Source organism: Homo sapiens, chromosome 8 (assembly GCF_000001405.40).
Source record: "Homo sapiens chromosome 8, GRCh38.p14 Primary Assembly".
Classification (NCBI taxonomy): Eukaryota; Metazoa; Chordata; class Mammalia; order Primates; family Hominidae; genus Homo; species Homo sapiens.
In genome coordinates, this window is record NC_000008.11 from 11,068,356 (window position 1) to 11,087,094 (window position 18,739).

Below are 18,739 nucleotides of genomic sequence, written 5' to 3' on the forward strand. Positions count from 1 at the left end.
TCTCTCAGTGAGCAATGGTCCCCTCCATGAAGGACTGTCCTGCCCAAATGCCATTAGTGTCCTGACACAGATGTTTGGGACCCTGACAATTCTTGAGCCATTTCCCATTTTTTTCTTGCCCTGTTTTCCCTGCCATCTACTAAAATCCCTTCTTTTCCCTGCCTGCTGCTCCGTGCCTGCACAATGCTTTCTCCTCCCTGTCTCTTCTGCAGAAAGCTACTGCTTCAGGCAGCCTGGGATGGCATCTCGGCAGGTCCTGGTGCCCACACAGCTGTGTGGACATGGGCAGCGTGGGTTTCTCCTCTGCACACAGCCTGCCCACCTTGCCTTTCACCAGAGAGAGGCTTCCCAGGAACACAGGCTCCTACAGGAGCTGCAGCCAACCCAGCCAGCTGGACACTGATGGTGTGACACCCACATGGGCTCCCACCAGCGAACAGCCCACCCCTGGCCAAGGTGGGCCCTGCCCCCTCGGTGCCTGCTAAACTGGTCATAACTGATTTCTTCCTTCAGAAAGGCACCCGTCAGGAAGAATCTCCTCCCTTGATCCGAATCCACTCCTGCACCTACATTCTCCCATCTGCCCCTCCCCAGGCTGCTCCTTTTCAATGGGGCACTTCTCCCACTGCTCCATGGCCAGCCCAACCTCGGGGTCCTGATTGTGGCTAACTTACAAGAGTGATTACCGGGCCTTCCATGTTTTCCCTTCCCCCAGTCTTGCCCCATCAGCAGAGCTGAGACCGATACCACAATCACTGCCATCAAGTGGGGCGGCTCAGCCCAGAAACATGGCCCTAGGATCCTCCTTAATGGGATAAAGAGTAGAGGCCCCACTGTCTTTGATAAGGCAGGCAGGTTCCACTCTCCAACCTGAAAAGATATGCCAAAAAAAAAAAAAATCTACATTTGGAGGGACCGACTCTGGCCTTCTGCCTCCCAGAAGCCCTGGGGTTCTTTCTCAGTCTGAAGCAGAAGCAGCCCCCCTGGTCCATCCCCCACCAGAGGATGCCAGCTCTCCCGGTCTCCCCTGACTCCACCCACAGTATCTCTCCCGCAAGGCCCTCCCTGGAGCCTGGCCAGAGCCTGTGTTGCCACACCTCGGGGTCATACAGGCTTCAGCTCACATGGCTGTGCCCCCTGTCTGCTCTCCTCCTCCACTTCCTCTGATGACCCTCATGATGGGTCATGTAAGAGGCATACCCCTAACCCCAACTGCCATCTTCCCCTGCCCCCAAGCTGAGCATAAAAGAAAGCACCCTAGAGTGCCATCAGCCCACTGACATTTCCAGAAGAGGGCTCCAGAGAGGATCAATAAGCAAACAGAATAAAGAGGGAGAGGGGAACATAGGTGCAAGAGAGTTCAGGGGTCAGTAAAGATTTCTTTACTGCAGAGCCTCCAGAGCCTTCAGTGCACTACTGTGCAACTGGATTTCCAAGAAGGGGATGTAGCATGCGGCGTGGCCCAGACTCACTGACAGGCTAAGCTTTGTGACAGGAGAGCTTCTAGGAAAACATCAGAGAAAAACTATCGGAGTCAACCTTGGGTATTTTAATGTTCTCAGGAGGGCCTTGATATTGACCCAAGGATTAGTCAATAGAGGCCAGGCTGCCTCATGACTTCCGCCCTTCTGCAGGCATTTCCCAAGCAGTGTTTCCTAAAGGGATCTTCTGAAGTTGAGCCATGAATTAAGCAGAACTCTTCCTTCCCCTGGCCCCACAGTTTTGGCTTCTGGGTTCTGGACATGGGAGTCCTGACAACACAGATGTGTGAGAAATACAAAGAAGACCCTCAGGGCAGTGCTGGAGGACAAGAGTCTTTCATCTAGGGTCCCCGTAGTCTCCAGGACTGTCACTACTCATGTATTTGCCCTGCGTCTTGGTTTATGTTTTTGTAGAACATGGATGTTATTCATCCACGCCTCATCAATCCCTGCTGAGAGGTTTAGGTAAAAGAGAGAAGCTGGGTTTGTAGCAGTACACTTCACTGAAAAAAATATTTCCTCAGTGACTCTAAAGGAACATTTTTGCTAGATTTCACATATGTAGTCAAGAACCAGAAACTTTGAGGGTTTAGGACCTATTTTTGGGTAGGAGGAGAAGATCAGAAAGGGGCAATTTGGGGTGGTGGTGGTTAAAAAGCAAAGCAAAATAAAGAAACACAAAACCAGGTAATGAGTGAGCAGGCTCTCCCCAAAGCTAGTCTTTAGGCTGGTTCCATCCTGAAATATGCCAGTGCCTCACTAGTAGATCCCAATGGGCAAAACAGCAGGAGGTCAAATGGGATAAAAATGTGAATGTAATGATTCCTCACATTTACATAGCACTTCACAGTTTATAAAACACTTATACAGATGATTCCATTTGAACTTCATAAAATCCTTACATAGGAGGCAAAGTAGAAAAGGCTTCCTAATTTAGAGATCGTGAATCAATAATTAGGTGACTTGCCCAAGATCTCCCAGCTTACTGGAAAACCAAGGATCAAGACGGAAGCCTTCTGCCTTCCTGCCCGCTGCCCCTCATTCCTCCTGCTGAACCCACCAGACCAAGAGTACATGGCAGGTAAGAATATCAAGGAATGAATGAACAAATCAACCAACCCATCACTGGGGCGCTATCCCAAGAAGCTACATAGTCACTGGCACACAGTGGGTACGGCTGTGGTGACACAGAGGGTTGGCCATCTCCTCCTGGCCAGTTCATCTCATTCACTGGAACAGGGTCGTGAACAAAGCAAATGTTTGTTAATGGATACTCATATCACATTCTCAAAGCTGGACCCTGGGTGGGCAAAGCAGTGAGGTGGTGTGAGGTCTCAGCCCAGGCACAGCTTCCTCACGGGTGTGTGGTCATTGCTCAGCATTTAGGGCCCTGGAGGTACTGAAGAAAAAAATTTCTTTTCAGATGAAGTTTTGCTATTGTTGTCCAGGCTGGAGTGCAATGGCATGATCTCGGCTCACTGCAACCTCCACCTCCTGGGTTCAAGGGACTCTCGTGCCTCAGCCTCCCAAGTAGCTAGGATTACAGGCACGCGCCACCATGCCTGTCTAGTTTTTTGTATTTTCAGTAGAGACAGGGTTTCATACAACCTCATTTTACACCTTTAAGTCTATGAGCCCCGAGTCCATGAGCCCCGAGTCCATGAGCCCCGAGTCTATGAGCCCCGAGTCCATGAGCCCCGAGTCTATGAGCCCCGAGTCCATGAGCCCCGAGTCCATGAGCCCCGAGTCCATGAGCCCCGAGTCTATCAGCCCCGAGTCCATGGGCCCCGAGTCCATGAGCCCCGAGTCCATGAGCCCCGAGTCTATGAGCCCCGAGGCCATGAGCCCGGAGTCTATGAGCCCCGAGTCTATGAGCCCCAAGTCTATGTTGTTTGTTATGATGGTCTTAGCAAATGAATACGAGGCCCAAGGTCAGGCTGGGACCCAAGAAGGTGATTTAAGGTGGCCCAGCACCCTCTCCCCACTGGGCAATAACCCAAGTGAAAGTCCTCTCTGTTCACATCACAGGGAATCACTCTTCCTTTCCTAATACTGTGTCCTCTGAATATATGCACTACACCAAGAAAATCAGATCATATATAGACCTCCAAAGAGCTCGAAGTCCAGAATAATATACAAACACACAGCCAAGATAAATACATAGAAAACACCCAATTTTTTTTAACACAATGTGTCCAAAAGCCAGTGTGTGGGTTGACTGTTTCCCAGAGGAGCAAGCTCTCTGTGGTGACCGCATCTCTAGCTAACCCTCTGGCACCCAACAGTCAACCCACATCAGTGATGAGAAATCACCTGTACAGCCAATACCGTCCTCTCAGCTCCACCCCCTCTCTGTTTTGATAAGGTCTGCTGGAGAGACAGCAGGGCTCCACCCCCTCTCTGTTTTGGTAAGGTCTGCTGGAGAGGCAGCAGGGCTCCACCCCCTCTCTGTTTTGGTAAGGTCTGCTGGAGAGGCAGCAGGGCTCCACCCCCTCTCTGTTTTGGTAAGGTCTGCTGGAGAGACAGCAGGGCTCCACCCCCTCTCTGTTTTGGTAAGGTCTGCTGGAGAGACAGCAGGGCTCCACCCCCTCTCTGTTTTGGTAAGGTCTGTTGGAGAGGCAGCAGAGCTCCTCTCAACAACCACATTGCACAAGGAAATGTGCAGGCTTACAGAAAGTTATGAGACTTGCCCAAGGTCATGCATCTTGCACTGATGAAGCCAAAAGTCCACACGTCTCATGTTGAGTGGAGAGAGAAGGGAGAGAACTCCATGCCCCTGGGACTCTGGGTAGAGAAGGTGGGGGCCACCCCTGCCAGGCAACAACACATGGGTCAGGGTGGGGGTACACTGGTGGTCAGAGGGCAAAACAGGTGTGGCCAGAGTGTCTGAACTGTGCCTGAGGCTGCCTGCCAAAGTTGCCCCCACATGCTAGGCCAGGCAAGGTAGCTCAAGCCTATAATCCCAGCACTTTGGAGACCAAGGCGGGTGGATCACTTGAGGTCAGGGGTTTGAGACCAGCCTGGCCAACATGGTGAAACCCCATCTCTACTAAAAATACAAAAATTAGCCGGGCGTGGTGGCGGGTGCCTGTAATCCCAGCTACTAATGAGGCTGAGGCAGGAGAATTGCTTCAACCTGGGAGGCGGAGGGTGCAGTGAGCCAAGATCGCGCCTCTGTACTCCAGCCTCAGCGACAGAGCGAGACTCCATCTCAAAAACAAACAAAAAGTTGCCCCCACATGCTAAAGGACCCTGTGATTAGCACATTTCAGACTTAGGGTCCTGTCTATCTTTTCCTGAGAAAGGCAATCATTCATTAGCTTGTCTGATTGATATCGTCACCTTTCCCAAAATCCGAGTCCCTGTGGAATCCATGTGTCCTTTTATGAGTTGAGTATTGGGATCCCTCCTGATGCATAATAATTAAGGGCTTTGATGAACTCTGGAGACCGCACTTAAGCAAACACTGGCAGAGGGTCACCTATGTGCTAGGAACTACATTGGGTCTTTGGGGGTCAGTTTATTTCAGAGATGCATCCTGCCTCCAAAGACCTCACAGTCTTTGGAGGAGAAGAAGACCTGTATATGAAGGACTGGCATACAAGGCAGAGTGAGACATGCCTAAGGTGTCAACAGTCCTGGGACAATGCCCCAAACCTGGACACTCTGGTAATAACATTCCCTGTTCCTTTGAAACAGCCCAGATTTAGTCTTTCGCTGTAACATATGCACTGATCAATACTGAAGATGAATTAAACTGATGAAAATCAATCCCAAAGCCAGTTTTCCTTTCCAGACCAAAACTTTTCATCAATAATAGAGAATTAAAAGATGTCACTAAATCCTGATACCTGCACTGCACGTAGTTCAATCACAGGTTGTGAAAATGGATTAAGAAGTAGGAAGCCTTGCCAAGAAGCTTGTTCTGCTGGCCTTTGGCAGACAGAGAGGGGCCAGTGAGAAACAAACAGACAGACAGGGACCCATTCCAGAATAAAGCGAAAGCCCTTGAGGCCGACTATTCAATCTGGGCAGGTGACCCAGGGCTTCCCTACCCACTCAGTGGGCTGGGAGTCCAGGCAGTGGAATCCAGAATGCTGCCAGGAAATGAGCCAGACACACAGAGAACACCCAGCAGTCTGTTCGGCTGGTTTGAAGAAGAGAATTGAAAAAAGAAAAAAAAGCAGAGAGAGAGATTTGGGGGACATCACAGAAGACTAGGAATTGGAGACTTTCAGTTGCTGAAGGCTTTTGAGCAGAAAGCTAAGATCTTCAAAGACGCAGCTTTGAGCCTATTCTTAGAGCAACAGGGAATCTGAGTATTTCTCCGAGGTTCACGGCCCCAGCGATGGGGCTGCTCTGTCTGCTCCAGCAGGAGCAGAAAGGAAGGAGCCAGGCCACAGGGAACTGCAGAAGCTGCGCTCCCTCTGTCTAGTGTGCCGTTTCCCGGCCTTGGGTCTCCTCTGTCTTAGGAGCCCCCACATGGCCCCATGGCCACTGCCAGGTCACTGTGGTAAGTGTTGAGTTAGTGACACTGACGATGCACCAGCAAGATCCAGCCTGCAAGACTGCCCAGCCCTGCCCAGAGCTGATGGAGGCTCTGGCCTCATGTTTCATTCATTTATTCAATCAATCATTTCCTGGGCACTGGCCAGATACCAGACACTATGCCGAATGTGGCAATGAAGAAAGAAATGAAGGTGATTATGGAGGTCCATCCCTCAAGCATTTGTCTAGTAGGGGAGTCCTTCATTCCATCAACAAACATTCTCTGAGCACTTGGTATGTACCAGAGCAAACCCAGGCACTGGAGACATCACCCCTGCCCCAGGAAGCACACAGTCCAAGGTGGGAGAGAGGCAGAGAGACGGCGAAGTGGAATGTGCTACCAGTGAGGTGGGCCCAGGTGCTTTGGGGTTCCAAAGTAGAGGCTGCACACCAGACCTCTGTGATAGGATCACAAACTGTCGCTGAATGAAGTTCTCATGCTGGAGCATCTGTGGGCAGCTGCCCTCTGGGAGCAGGATGAGCAAAACAGCACTGAGACCCAGGATGAGGGAAGCAGAGTGGCAGAGCCCTGGGAAAAGCTGCTCTAGGGCAGTGGAAAACTCTGCAGTGTCCCCATGGGGCAGCAGACCAGACCAGGACGCAGAGCAGAGCCTGGGGAGAGGAGAGGCTCTGAATGGCCCACAGGACTTGGCTGGTGGCACCCTCCCTGGAGGCTGGGGCACTAGTACAGGTGGGGAGGGAAGAGGATGCTGCCCCCGCCCTGCAGAGGCTCCCATAAGGAGCCCATCATGTGGGGAGCACAGGAACCCTGCCATGGCTTGAACTCTGGGGAAAAAAAGGGTGGTTGTCTACAAGGCGCCACAGTCCCTCAGTGAGAAATCTGAGCCTAGTCCCCTTGATTGGTCTTACTCCGGAAGTAAGCAGATGGGGCACCGACAAAGAGCCTGGACTTTGCTCACTCTGCCCTCCGAGCAATCCCTTTACTATGTCCAAGTCAGTCTCTCTTCTGCCAATGAAGCTCCTTCCAGGGTTAGGGGTTGAGGAAACTGTTCCCAGAAACACCCGGTAGGTGCTTGATTCCTCTTGGCAAAAGCTGACTCTTCCCAGCCCAGGTTGATGACAGGAAAGACTATCATGACCCCTACCCTAAGCACAAAGCACTTCCAGCCACATTCACAACTCAATCCTCACAGCAATCTGGCAGGTGGATGGAGTAGATACTACTGTTCTCAATTTACTGATTCAAAAAAGTAACTTGGCCAGGCTCGGTAGCTCACATCTGTAATCCCAGCACTTTGGGAGGCTGAGGTGGGTGGATCATGAGGTCATGAGTTTGAGACCAGCCTGGCTAACCCCGCCTCTACTAAAAATACAAAAATTAGCTGGGTGTGGTGGTGAGCACCTGTAGTCCCAGCTATTCGTGAGGCTGAGGCAGGAGAATCACTTGAACCTGGGGGGCAGAGGTTGCAGTGAGCTGAGATCACACCATTGCACTCCAGCCTGGGCAACATAGCGAGACTCTGTCCCCCCGACCCAAAAAAAACGTAACTTGATCTTGAGGAGATATTTGTACTCTGTGCTCACAGCAGCATGATTCTCAATAGCCAAAAGATGGAAGCAGCCCCAGCGTCACTTGACACATGAATGGAGAAACCCAACATGGTCCATCCATCCACTGGAATATTATTCAGCCATAAAAAGGAAGGAAATTCTGGCACACACTACAACACGGGCGAACCTCGATGATAGTATGCTGAAAGAAATGAGCCCGTCACAAAATGACAAATACTATATGATGCTTCTTATATGAGGTCCATAGAGGAGTCAGATTCATAGAGGCAGATAGTAGAATGGGGTTGCCAGGGGCTGAGGGAAAGGGGAATGGGGAGGTGCTGTTTAATGGGTGTGGATTTTTAGTTTTACACAGCGATAAAGTTCTGGAGTGGATGGTGGTGATGGTTGCACAACAAGGTGAATGTTCTTAACACAACTCAACCATACACTTAAAATTGGTTAGGATTGTAGATTTTATATTATGCATATTTTACCATATTTTACGATCGTGACTTGAATCCATATTTCCTGCCTGTTGGGTCCCAGCCTGACCCTTACCCCATCAGCAGAGGAGCAGTGACGCCATGAGGCACTAGAAGAACCCAAGGCCTGGAGTCAGGCCAGGGACTAGGTGAGAGTCTCGTGAGCTGTGCGACCTCAGCCTCCTTCATCTCTCTAAATTTCAATTTTCTAACCTATAAATTGATGCCAATACCTAATAATGACACAGTAGCAAAGCGCCCCCAGCACAGGGCAGGCCCCGAAGAAAGCCACAGAGGACAGTAAGGAAGGGTCCAGCTGAGTCCAGCCAGGATCCGGGGCCTCAGCCAGCGCAGGCAGCGATGGCAGCCTCCTTGGAGTGGCCTGGCCAACTCTGGGCCCGCAGAGGACAGGCAGTCCCGTGCCCACTGCTACCTTGAATCCCAAGGACAAGAAAGTTCAGGCCTTTACAAGTAATAGTTTGATTCCTTCGTCCATTCAAAGCATGGAGAGCTGGCTGAGCGCGGTGGCTCATGCGTGTAATCCCAGCACTTTGGAGGCTGAGGCATGAGGATTGCTTGAGCCCAGGTGTTTGAGACAAGCCTAGGAAGCACAGTGAGACCCCATCTCTACAAAAAAATTAAAATTAGCTGGGCATGGTGGCACATGCCTGTAGTCCCAAGCTACTCAAGAGGCTGAGGCAGAAGGATCACTTGAGCCTCAGGAGTTTGAGGCTACAGTGAGCCATGATCACACCACTGCCCTCCAGCCTGGGCAACAGAGCAAGACTCTGTCTCTAAGAAAAACCACAAGCATAAAGCATTGTGTCCAGCTGCCGGGAAGCCCAAGCAGCAGCGTGCAGTGGCTTTGGGGTCCAAAGCCTCAGCGTGGCCTCTTTACCTGTGTGGCCTTGGGAGACTCATTTCATTTTTTCAAGCACCATCCAGAAAGTGTGGACACTCATGGCCCCTCCTGAGAGTGGCTGCAGGGTCACATGGGGTGCCTGCAGCCCTGGGGCGCTCTGTGAGGTCATCTCCCTTACGTGGAGTCTCAAGCACTTTGAGTATGAGACTGTGGCCCTCAGTGAACAGTTCCTCTCTACATGCAGCTCACTCAAGGAGGAGGGCATGGGAGAAAGCTGGTGGCTCAGGGTCAGGCAAAGGCCTGATGCTTCACTGTGCACCAGACTGGGTCCTGTAAATCTCCAGGAGGAGGTGACCCTCGAGGCCTGGACTCCCTTTGGTCTTTGGCTGAAGCTGCTGAACAGCTGAGGAAGGAGCCTGTGGCTGTTTCCCCGCCCAGCTCCCTCTTATTAAGTGGGAACCCTCCAGCCTCTCCAGGAGGAGTCCCATCCTGTCTTCCCAGCTGCAAGAATGCATCTGGGCACAGTTTCTGGTCCCCATGGCAACCGCTCCAATCTGTGTCAGCAGAAATGGAGTCTGCTGCTGCTGTAGTCACAAGAGGGGGACCCTGGCATGATCATCAGACCGGGGACCCAGGGGATCCACAGAAGAGAGGCTCAATCCGGGAGCAGCCTCCCGGTGTCTACCTGCACTGGCCGCCGGGCTGGCCCTGCTGGGCAGGGGAGGTTCTGGGTGGGCAGACCTGACAAGCACTGACCCTCCATGGAAGGACCTCAATGCTGACCTTGAGCCTGACCCCAAACCACTTCCGACAGTGGCGCTGTTAAAGCCCTCTGGGAAAACATACTCTGCAGCCTCTCTTGGTGCCTGACTCTAGGATTTATTCAGTCTCATGGAGTGTACTGGGAAGACAGACCTATTTTTAAAATTTCATTTGGAAGGATGAAGTAGGGGAAGGAACTCCAGAGGGAAAGAAGAACTGACACTTATTGAATTTCTCACTGTGTGCCCCGAGACTTTATCGACATTGTCAACTTCAATTGGCACCATGAGTCTAAGGGATGTTGTCTTACAGAGAAATGAGACCCAGAGAGCTCCTGCCACTTGCCCAAGAACACACAGCTTTCAAATATTCATGCTGGCACACAGCTTTTAAATACTGGTGCTGGGATCCACCAGGTACCGTCTGCCATTCTGCCTGTGTGTTCCCCACTATTCCACGTGCTGCTGACCCCACGTGAGGCAAGGCTTCTTCCCATCTGCCAGGAACCTTGAGGTCACTGGTGAATCCTTGAGTCCTAAGGAAGAGAGGATTTGGGGAAGGAAGTGCAATGGGGTGTGAGAGTGGCAGCCTTGACAGGACCTGAGGGTTGTGGCTCCCTTCCTGCGAGTCTCAAGACAAGAGGGTGCTTGATGGAGGCCCCCCATGACAGCACGAAGGCTGGGCTCAGCAGCAGTCCAGGAAGGTGCTAGCAGTTGGCCTTCAGGACCCGTTAGGAAATTCTGGGTAGGCCCAGAATGACGAGAGAGGACAGTGACGCCAACCCATCCAGCCCCACAGGCCTCCAGTCTCAGCACCATAGGAGAAGAGTGGACATACCCTCCCATGGCAAGCAAGGCCTCCCAAGGGGGGCCAGAGGCCTCATCCTCATGAGCCGTCAATTTCAGCCAACTTAGGCTGATGGCCAAACACATCTTCCAATGGCCAAGGCAAAGGGGACCTGGGTCACCTCAGGACCACTCCGGGGCGAGGAAGAAGGAGCAAGACTAGAGGAACAGGGCGCTGCAGGGCCATAAGAACCCCAACCCTTCTGCAACCTGAATTCTGCCCCTCCTAGGCAGAAGGCTGTGCAGGAGAACAGAGTGCAGATCCCTAGCCACCTGCTCCCAGGGAGGAAACACCTCCTTCTTCCCATGAAAAAGTGGCCTCTGGGCAGGAGATACCAGGGGGCAGAGCTCTGTGTGTGTCTCCTGGCTTGTCTGCAATGGCAAGAGGAAGTGTGTGTGTCAGAGGCAGGGAATGAGAGATGACCTAACTGTATCAATTGGGGAATAAATAAACACATTTTGGCGCATTAAAGTATGCTGAACAATAGAGTAAGTGCAGCTTTTAAAAATAAAGAAGCAGAATTCTATTTTTGACTTAAGAACTGTCCACAGTGGATAAAGCAAATTGCAGAACAATATAGTGACTATTATCCCATTTTTGTAAAATAAAATCTGTCTATCTGCATATGGTTTTGATGCAGCATCCACATAAGATCATTTGGAAGTCTACACTGCACCAATTGTTAGTAGCTGTCGCCTCTGGAAGGGGAAAAAGGAAATGGCATCAGGAAAAGGGGCAAGGAAGAAAGAATATTGGTTTCACTTTATGTACTTCTTGGAATTGTGTTAGAAAGACCAGGTAACGTTGTTGTGATAAACCAATAAGGGACCAGGCACGGTGGTTCATGCCTCTTATTCTAGCACTTTGGGAGGCCAATGTGGCAAGATTGCTTAAGGCCAGGAGTTTGAGACCAGCCTGGGCAATATAAGGAGACCCCTTGTCATCTCTACAAAAAAGTTTTAAAAAATTAGCTGGCATGGTGGCGTGCACCTGTAGACCCAGCCACTCAGAAGGCTGAGGCAGGAGGATCACTTGAACCCAGGAGTTCGAGGCTGCAAGTAAGCCATGATTGTACCACTGCACTCCAACCTGGGCAACAGAGTGAGACCTCATCTCAAAAAATAAATAAATAAATACATAAATACATAAATAAATGAAATAAAGTTGAAAAATAAAATAATCATAAAAGGTCCCCAAACACCTCTAAACAAGGGTGCATGCTTGAGATCAGTCCATTTTTCGAGTGAGCAATTCACTAAACTCTTTGCAGAGACCCACCTCAGAAAGCAAGAAAAAAAAAAACACACCCACTTGAATTTTCTTAGATGACACAGACTTTTGGTCCTTTGCCTTAAGAGAAAACCCTGGGCTCCCCTAGTCATTAAGTCCCCATAATCAGAGAGCTTCAAGCAAACGAACACAGAGAGATCTCTTCTCACACAATTTGTCCAAGCTATAGCCTATGCCAAATCAGGGAGGTGTCTTTTTATAAGAAAGGACAGGCTTTAGAAACAGGGTGGGGAAGGAGAAAAAAAAAAGAGATCAGTACATGTCAAAAGAGATATCTTCTGCAATTCCTCTGACCTGATTATTGGGCTCATTGTAGAAATTTAACTATTTATCTATTTCTTGTTCTCTAAACAGCAGACAGTGATAATCAAAACTTTGGAGATGTAAAGTCAACACTTGCCACTGCTGTGAGTCTGTCCCCAGTTCATCATCACAGTGACAGTCTGGGCAGGCCCCCAGGTGGCCTCCAAAGCCACCTTCACAGCCTACTTCTGTCCAGCCAGTAGGCCAAGAGGTCTCTGTTGAGCACTGGCTTACGCTAGGAAATAATTCGGAGGAGGAGGAGCCAGGTGGTCCACCACCTCAAAGAAGCATGTAACCTAGTCAGAGGGACACTACCGTCAGAGACAACGCAAGAACACCAGAGACAAGCTGGGTCTGGCCACTCTGTGGCTTATGCAGGCCTCTCTGGGCACTGTTTGCCGGTCGAAGCTGCCAACCTCTTTGGAGAGGAGAATAGAGATATTATCACCTCCACTGTACACACGTGAAAACTGTGGATCACAAAAGAAGATCCGTATGACAAGGAGAAAAAAATTCACAGGACATATCAATGGCAAATAATCAAGAAGAAAACTCAAAGGTCTGTAGTTATTTGGGACAAAGACCTCCACTGCATAACTTTCAATAAAGGTGAAACCATTAACTTTAGGTAGCAGCAACATACTGTTCTAAGGACTGCAAGAAGCCGTCTACCTCAAAATGGCATGATTTTGCTAAAGCCGGATTCTGAGAAAAGTAAGGATACTTAAGAAAAGCACTAAAATCCCTCTGTGAAAACTGTTGCTTCCACAGAAAACTAGAAGGTACCAGGAAAATCCAGCAGATGGACTTTACCTTTAGCTTGACCTCGGCTTCCTAATGCATTAAACACTCATATGGAATGAATCTGTTCCTGCAGGGGTAGAATTACACAGTTATCTGTCATCCAATGTCAAATAGGTTATCCCTTGATTAAGGTCTTAGCACGGATGAGAATTTTATTGAAATGATTTTCATTATCTGCACGACAGTTCATCACAAATATATTTGGCCCAGTGTGTTTCAAATGTGATTTGATCACACATCAAAATGTGGACATTTAATTCATTTTAATCGAGAAATTAAATGCATCTGCCTTGCTTCCTCTCCTGGGGCTCTTCCATCTCAGGAAATTCCCACACCAGCAGGTCTGGACAAGTCCTCGGCAGTAACTTCACTCAGCCTGAATTCTTCTTCCTTTCCCCACGGCTCTGACTCCAAGTTCTGATCATCAAGTTGAAAGGGAAACTTACAACCAAAGGAGATGTAAACAAGAATAGTCTCTGTCAGTTCAGTGGAGAGAGAGAGAGAAGCTTTAATGGGCACTAGTCAGTCAGAGGCTTATTCTGCAAGTGTTCATTAGGAATCAGTGGAATTTCCACTGTTTCCCTGGTGTCACTTGGGCTGCTGCCTCTTGGCCTGTGTCAAAGACAACAAAGGAAAATGGTCCTTGCCCCTCGAGGTGGGACTGGATGCCAACCAGCCCGACAGGCAGTGGGTGGTTCACGGTTCTGTTCCCACTGGAGGATGCTCTTGTCGGCCTACCCTCTCGCCTGAGACCTGGAAGGAAGTGCATGCCCAAGGGTGCCAGTTGGAGGGGAGCTAGCAGTCAGACCAGGCTGGTGTAGGCTTTGCAGACAGAGACTCACCTCCTTCCACTGCCAGAAGATGCTGCCGTCGGGTGAGGAGCTGTGACCTGGGCAGAGGAAATTCAAGGAGCCAATTTCTGCTCTGTACATAGAAAAGGTGGTCCTCTCCTGTTTGTTCGGGGGGCATCTCTGAAGCCCAGCTCCACTCTTTACCATCTTGCTAAGAACCAGGAGTCTGGAACATCTCCCAAAGTCTACGTGGGGCTCAATATCATGTGCAATCACTTTGCACCCCGTTACGAATGTGGGAGCAAGAGTTGGTCAATTTTGGAAGGGCTTGGTTAAGACAGCTGGTAAACCTCAGCTGAGATAATATCTCTATTCTCCTCTCCAAAGAGGTTGGCAGCTTCACCGGGCAAACAGTGCCCAGAGAGGCCTGCATAAGCCACAGAGTGGCCAGACCCAGCTTGCCTCTGGTGTTCTTGCGTTGTCTCTGACCGTCTTGTCTGTCCTTCTGACTAGGTTACATGCTTCTTTGAGGTGGCGGACCACCTGGCTCCTCCTCCTCCAAATAATGGGGGATTCAGCCTGCAGCCTGGGAGAAAGTCAAACAAGAGTCCTCTGTCCCAACAGCAGTCCCCAAAGTCACCCTTCTGCCCTTAGGACCCTGGCTTTCCTCAGTTCCTTTTAACTGGGACACAGCTCAGGTTTGACAGAGCCTGGCCACTGGGCTGGGCCTTTGGGCCGTCCTCGAACACTCTCCTGAGCAGGAGACTGAGTGATGTTAAAGCTCTGACGTCTCATGGTTGCAGAACTGAAGACAAGCCCAAGAGCAGGAAAGTGGAGTCCCAGGCAGTGGCCTCAAGTATTTCTATTATTTCTATTTCTGTATTTATTTCTCGTCTTTATAGCTGCTGCGGCCAGGTAGCCCTAGGCAGGGCTTCCTCCCTGCCTCACCTTCCCAGCCCTTTCTGCACAGGCAGCGCACAGCACTCCGTGTGCTTTAGAATCCTCCTGCCCTGAGGTTTCTGATCCTGTGAGTCTCCTCTGGAACTCGGGGGCTGCTGCAGAACTAGGCCACTCTCCAAGCCTCCCTCTCCGAGTCTCGGCAGCCAGTGGGAGCCCAGCACTTCAAAGTGCCCGTGGGGCTCCTCTGCACACTGCCATTATCCACCACACACATGGCTCAGCACATTCACCTAGTCGCACCACTTGGAGTTCAGTGACTCCCTGGAAGGCCTTACAGGAGTGAGGAAGGAATGGGAATGCCTCCTGTTCCCCTACCTCCCCATACACCGACCCACGGTGCAATTTTCCCCAGATTACAAGGAAAGCTCTGGGGATGCACAACCTGAAAGGCAGCTGGGAGCCACCTGTCAGGGAATGTCACCACTGCGCCCTCACACCGATCGCCCCTGGGACTTGACAGGTGGCTGCATCCTCATGTGGGACCGGATTCTCTTTTTATTACACCCCCCGTTGAGCTATTCCCCGCTTCAAGTTTTGCATTTTCGGAATGCAAAACTTCACCAGTGCTGGGCTGGGTTTCCCCTTGGGGGGCCTGGGGATGCTTCAATGAGGAGAGAGGACAGGAATGAGTTCATAGAGAAAAAGCCAAATGCATATTTATCTCACAATTATACGTAAAAGTCAAAAAATCTGAAAGCGATCTAAGTGTCCAATAGGAAGGGAATGCTTAGTATCAATAAGAGATCTGGAAAGCTGCTGTAAAAGTAACTGTCAAAAGCACACCACCATATCAGGAAGTGATTTGAATGTATTAAGAAAGAGAACATGGAACTGTATGCCCACTATGATTACATGTTTTAAATTTTTGCAAGGAAATGCAGAAATGAATAAAGTTCTTGAGACAGATTGTAAGTTTGCTGTTTCGTTAAAAAAAAAAACTCCTTTAATACTATATTATTTTTATAATAAGTAACATTAAAAGAAAAACATTAGGAATCTGGAGAAAAAGGGATCCTAAATGGGAATCCCTAAGTCCTGGCTTCCAGCCCTGTGTCTGCCCCATCCACAACCGCATGGCTTTGGATACTTTCCTCTAAGCCTCAGTTTCCACAATGATACACTAAGTTCCACTGTGTGATTGCCTGGGTATCTTCCAGATCGGACTTCCCACAGTTTGGTTTATCCACAAACAGTGCTTACTGACCTAATTAGGTTATGACTTCAACCACTGATATCTACCAAACCAAGAGAGTTGGAAATCTGGTCAGAACGCCATCTGCGTACACTGCTCCCGGTAATTCTGAGCAATTTGCCACATACGATTTCAGCCATGCTTGACTTTCCAGGGCACAAATAGAAACTACTATATTGCTTTAAGGCTGAATCACTTAGCACTTCCCAGAATTCAGATATGATTTATACCGTCATTTTAAAATAAAACTCTCCTGTCTAAGAATTGCACTATTTACCATAGAGCATTTCCTAATTTTGGAAGGAAAAAAAAAGAAAATATTTATTCAGAAAGCACTTCATATTTACATAGCACCTACCGCTAATGAAACATCTTATCCGATCTTAATGATGAGATTAAGGTGTAAATTTAGAGCTCCACCCACCAGCCTGGTGCATTTCTTATTCAGTCCAAGTCTGTTTGAGATAAGTTACCAGACTTCAGCTTTCAGAGTTAATGTGTGGGAGCTATTTTTTCCCTTCTAGAAAGAAGCACTTGCCAGTAACATTTTAGCTATTTCCCAAGGCTCAGAGAAGGTTCTCCATACTTTTCTATGTTGGAGGTGGGACTGCTGCCAGCTTGGAGGGAAGGGAAAGGTTACTCACACTCGATGGGAAAGAGCTCTACTGTCCATGGTCTTCCTCACATATTTGCAGTTGGTCAGCTCCTAAGAAAACAGTGCCTTACTCCTACAAAAAGAAATCTGCTGAAGAACAGCATCCAAGGTGCACCACCATCCCCAGGGTAAATGCCCCGCAACCACCTGCATCCAGGTGCACCTGCAGTTTCCCACCCCCCAGCTCATCCCTCCATCCAGCCTTTGCCAGCCTTCCTTCGTCCCCTTGGCTTCCTCCTCCGCCTCCTCCTTCCAGGGTCTCCTCTGCAGCACTCCCTGGCCTCCCAGGCACTACCTCCCCTTCTTGTCACCCAAGAGCAGTTGGCACAGATCTCTGTGGGCATCACACAGACTTCCTCCCATCACCCTCTCAGATCCTCCTCTGCGGCCCCCATGCTAGGTGGGAGCCTCATTGTCTCTCTAACTGTGGCAACAGGCGAAGCACGTGCTCTCACTCACAGGGTCCTTGGAGTGCCTGCTCTGGTTGCCACATGCCATGGGGTGCGGTTGCTGCTCTCAAGAAGCCCACATCCTCCTGCAGGGGACCTAGCCCACGGAGAGTGCCAAGTGTATGCTTGTCAGAGGTGAAAGAGGTGTGTGTGTGTGTGTGTATGTATGTGCATGTGTGTGTGTGTGCATGTCTGTGCTTGTGCATGCGTGGGCTGCATTAATCCTCATACCAATCTCCTAAGTGATCTTGGCCAGAGGCAGGAGAATGGGGAGTGGGCACTGCTGGACGAGGAGGGGGCCAGAGCGGGAGATTATTCACTGGGGTGCCCAGGAAAGAATGCCCGCCATAGGATGGTCTCCCATGAGGCTTCCCTTCTGCCCTGCCTTGGTCAGCATCGGGCAGGCCTCCCACAGGCCTCTCCTCTGAAGAGTCCAATTTCAGACCGTCAGCATGGCCCTGGGACAGCAACGGTCTGGTTCCACCAGTCTCTCCCCTTCCTCCTCATACCCCAGCTCGAAGCCACTGCCGCCGGAGCAAGGGCCTGCAGATGCCCTACCTTGCGTCACTCAGGGAGTCTGAGAATGCTGAAAATCTACTGGGTCAGAATGTCTGCAGGTGGGACCCAGGAATCTGCATTTCCACCAACTTCCCAGATGACTGCTGTGCTCACTAGAATTTGAGAATCACTCACTTAAGCTCTAAGCTTCTTAATCAAAGTCTCCTCCTTGGCAGGGGGCCCGAGTGCCCCGGAGGACACTCTCACGGTCCCGCCAGCTGCCCACTTTCCCTCATGGAAGAATAGGACCAGAACTCAATTGTGTTTTTTTAAAAAGAAAATATATATATATATATTTTTTTTTAAAAAAAACAAGCATAATTCATAATTCTGATCCAGATTCTTGCTAATGCATCAACTCACTGGCTTAGGAACAGTTGCTTAAATGTAAATTAGTTATCTGAGAAAGAAAATCACATTACAGGCAAACATAGAGCTTGTACTTGGCCTGACCTGCAGGACATTCTGGATATTAAAGGACTCATGAGACCCAGCCCAAAGCCCGGGCCGAGGATGTGCCCGGCACACAGTGGGTGCTATTCGCTGTTATCCATAAATGGCAGCCTTCAGCAGAGGTGGGCTTTCAACACGGAGACGCTCATCAGCCTCACACCTTGTCATTTTATCATCACAGCCATGGAAAGTCATTCCTAACGGGAGGAACACACTACACCCTGCCCAGCCCACATGAAGGCAACCCTAGACTGACAAGTGTAAAATGTCAGATAGAATAAAAAGCTTTCAATGACAATAAGTCAAGTTGCACACACTAGAAAGATGCGGTGAGGTTAAGTGACTTACCTCAGCTACAAAGTAAACCCCCAGCAGCGGGAGGAATATAATCCAAGTCTCCAGTGTCCCACTCTGATCCTATCTCTTTTCTAGATCCTGCTGCCTCTCCAGTGAAAAGGGAGACTTCAAATGAAAAGTAAGCACAGTAGCTTGTTCTGCTGCTAATAGAGGCAGTGGCACGGCTGCTGCCAGCATCCTCTGAAAAGATTTAACACTAGAAATATTCGAAACAGAACAGAGGCGTCGGAGGTCACCCGGCCAGTCCTGTCCCGCAGGGATCAGTCCCACCTTCTTAGCGATCTCCAGGCAGTGGCTCCATGGTCTCTCGGAAGCTGAGATGGGCCCCATGAAACTCTGCCTTTACTTCCAGGGCTGACGTGTGGGCAAGTAGAATCAATTAACCCCGAACTCCCCTCTGAACTCTCTCCCCAGTCCTGCCCTCACTCTAC

General features: G+C 49.9%; 1 protein-coding gene across 2 annotated transcripts in view, besides 3 other annotated features; it reads right to left on the reverse strand.

Annotated features, from left to right (window-relative positions):
• The window catches only part of XKR6 (XK related 6), a 305,789-nt gene that overhangs the window by 172,311 nt on the left and 114,739 nt on the right, over nt 1-18,739 (reverse strand). The window lies entirely within an intron of this gene.
• Nucleotides 686-1,503: an enhancer, noted in NCBI's record as "H3K4me1 hESC enhancer chr8:10926551-10927368 (GRCh37/hg19 assembly coordinates)". NCBI's record gives its function as "activates a minimal SCP1, AML or CMV promoter by ChIP-STARR-seq in naive H9 embryonic stem cells {active_cell/tissue: H9 hESC(naive)}" and the evidence as "EXISTENCE:reporter gene assay evidence [ECO:0000049][PMID:30033119]".
• Nucleotides 4,436-4,981: an enhancer, noted in NCBI's record as "H3K27ac-H3K4me1 hESC enhancer chr8:10930301-10930846 (GRCh37/hg19 assembly coordinates)". NCBI's record gives its function as "activates a minimal SCP1, AML or CMV promoter by ChIP-STARR-seq in naive H9 embryonic stem cells {active_cell/tissue: H9 hESC(naive)}" and the evidence as "EXISTENCE:reporter gene assay evidence [ECO:0000049][PMID:30033119]".
• Nucleotides 12,525-13,724: an enhancer, noted in NCBI's record as "BRD4-independent group 4 enhancer chr8:10938390-10939589 (GRCh37/hg19 assembly coordinates)". NCBI's record gives its function as "activates an origin of replication core promoter dependent on BRD2, P300/CBP, MED14 and CDK7 cofactors, and independent of BRD4, by STARR-seq in HCT116 cells {active_cell/tissue: HCT116}" and the evidence as "EXISTENCE:reporter gene assay evidence [ECO:0000049][PMID:35650434]".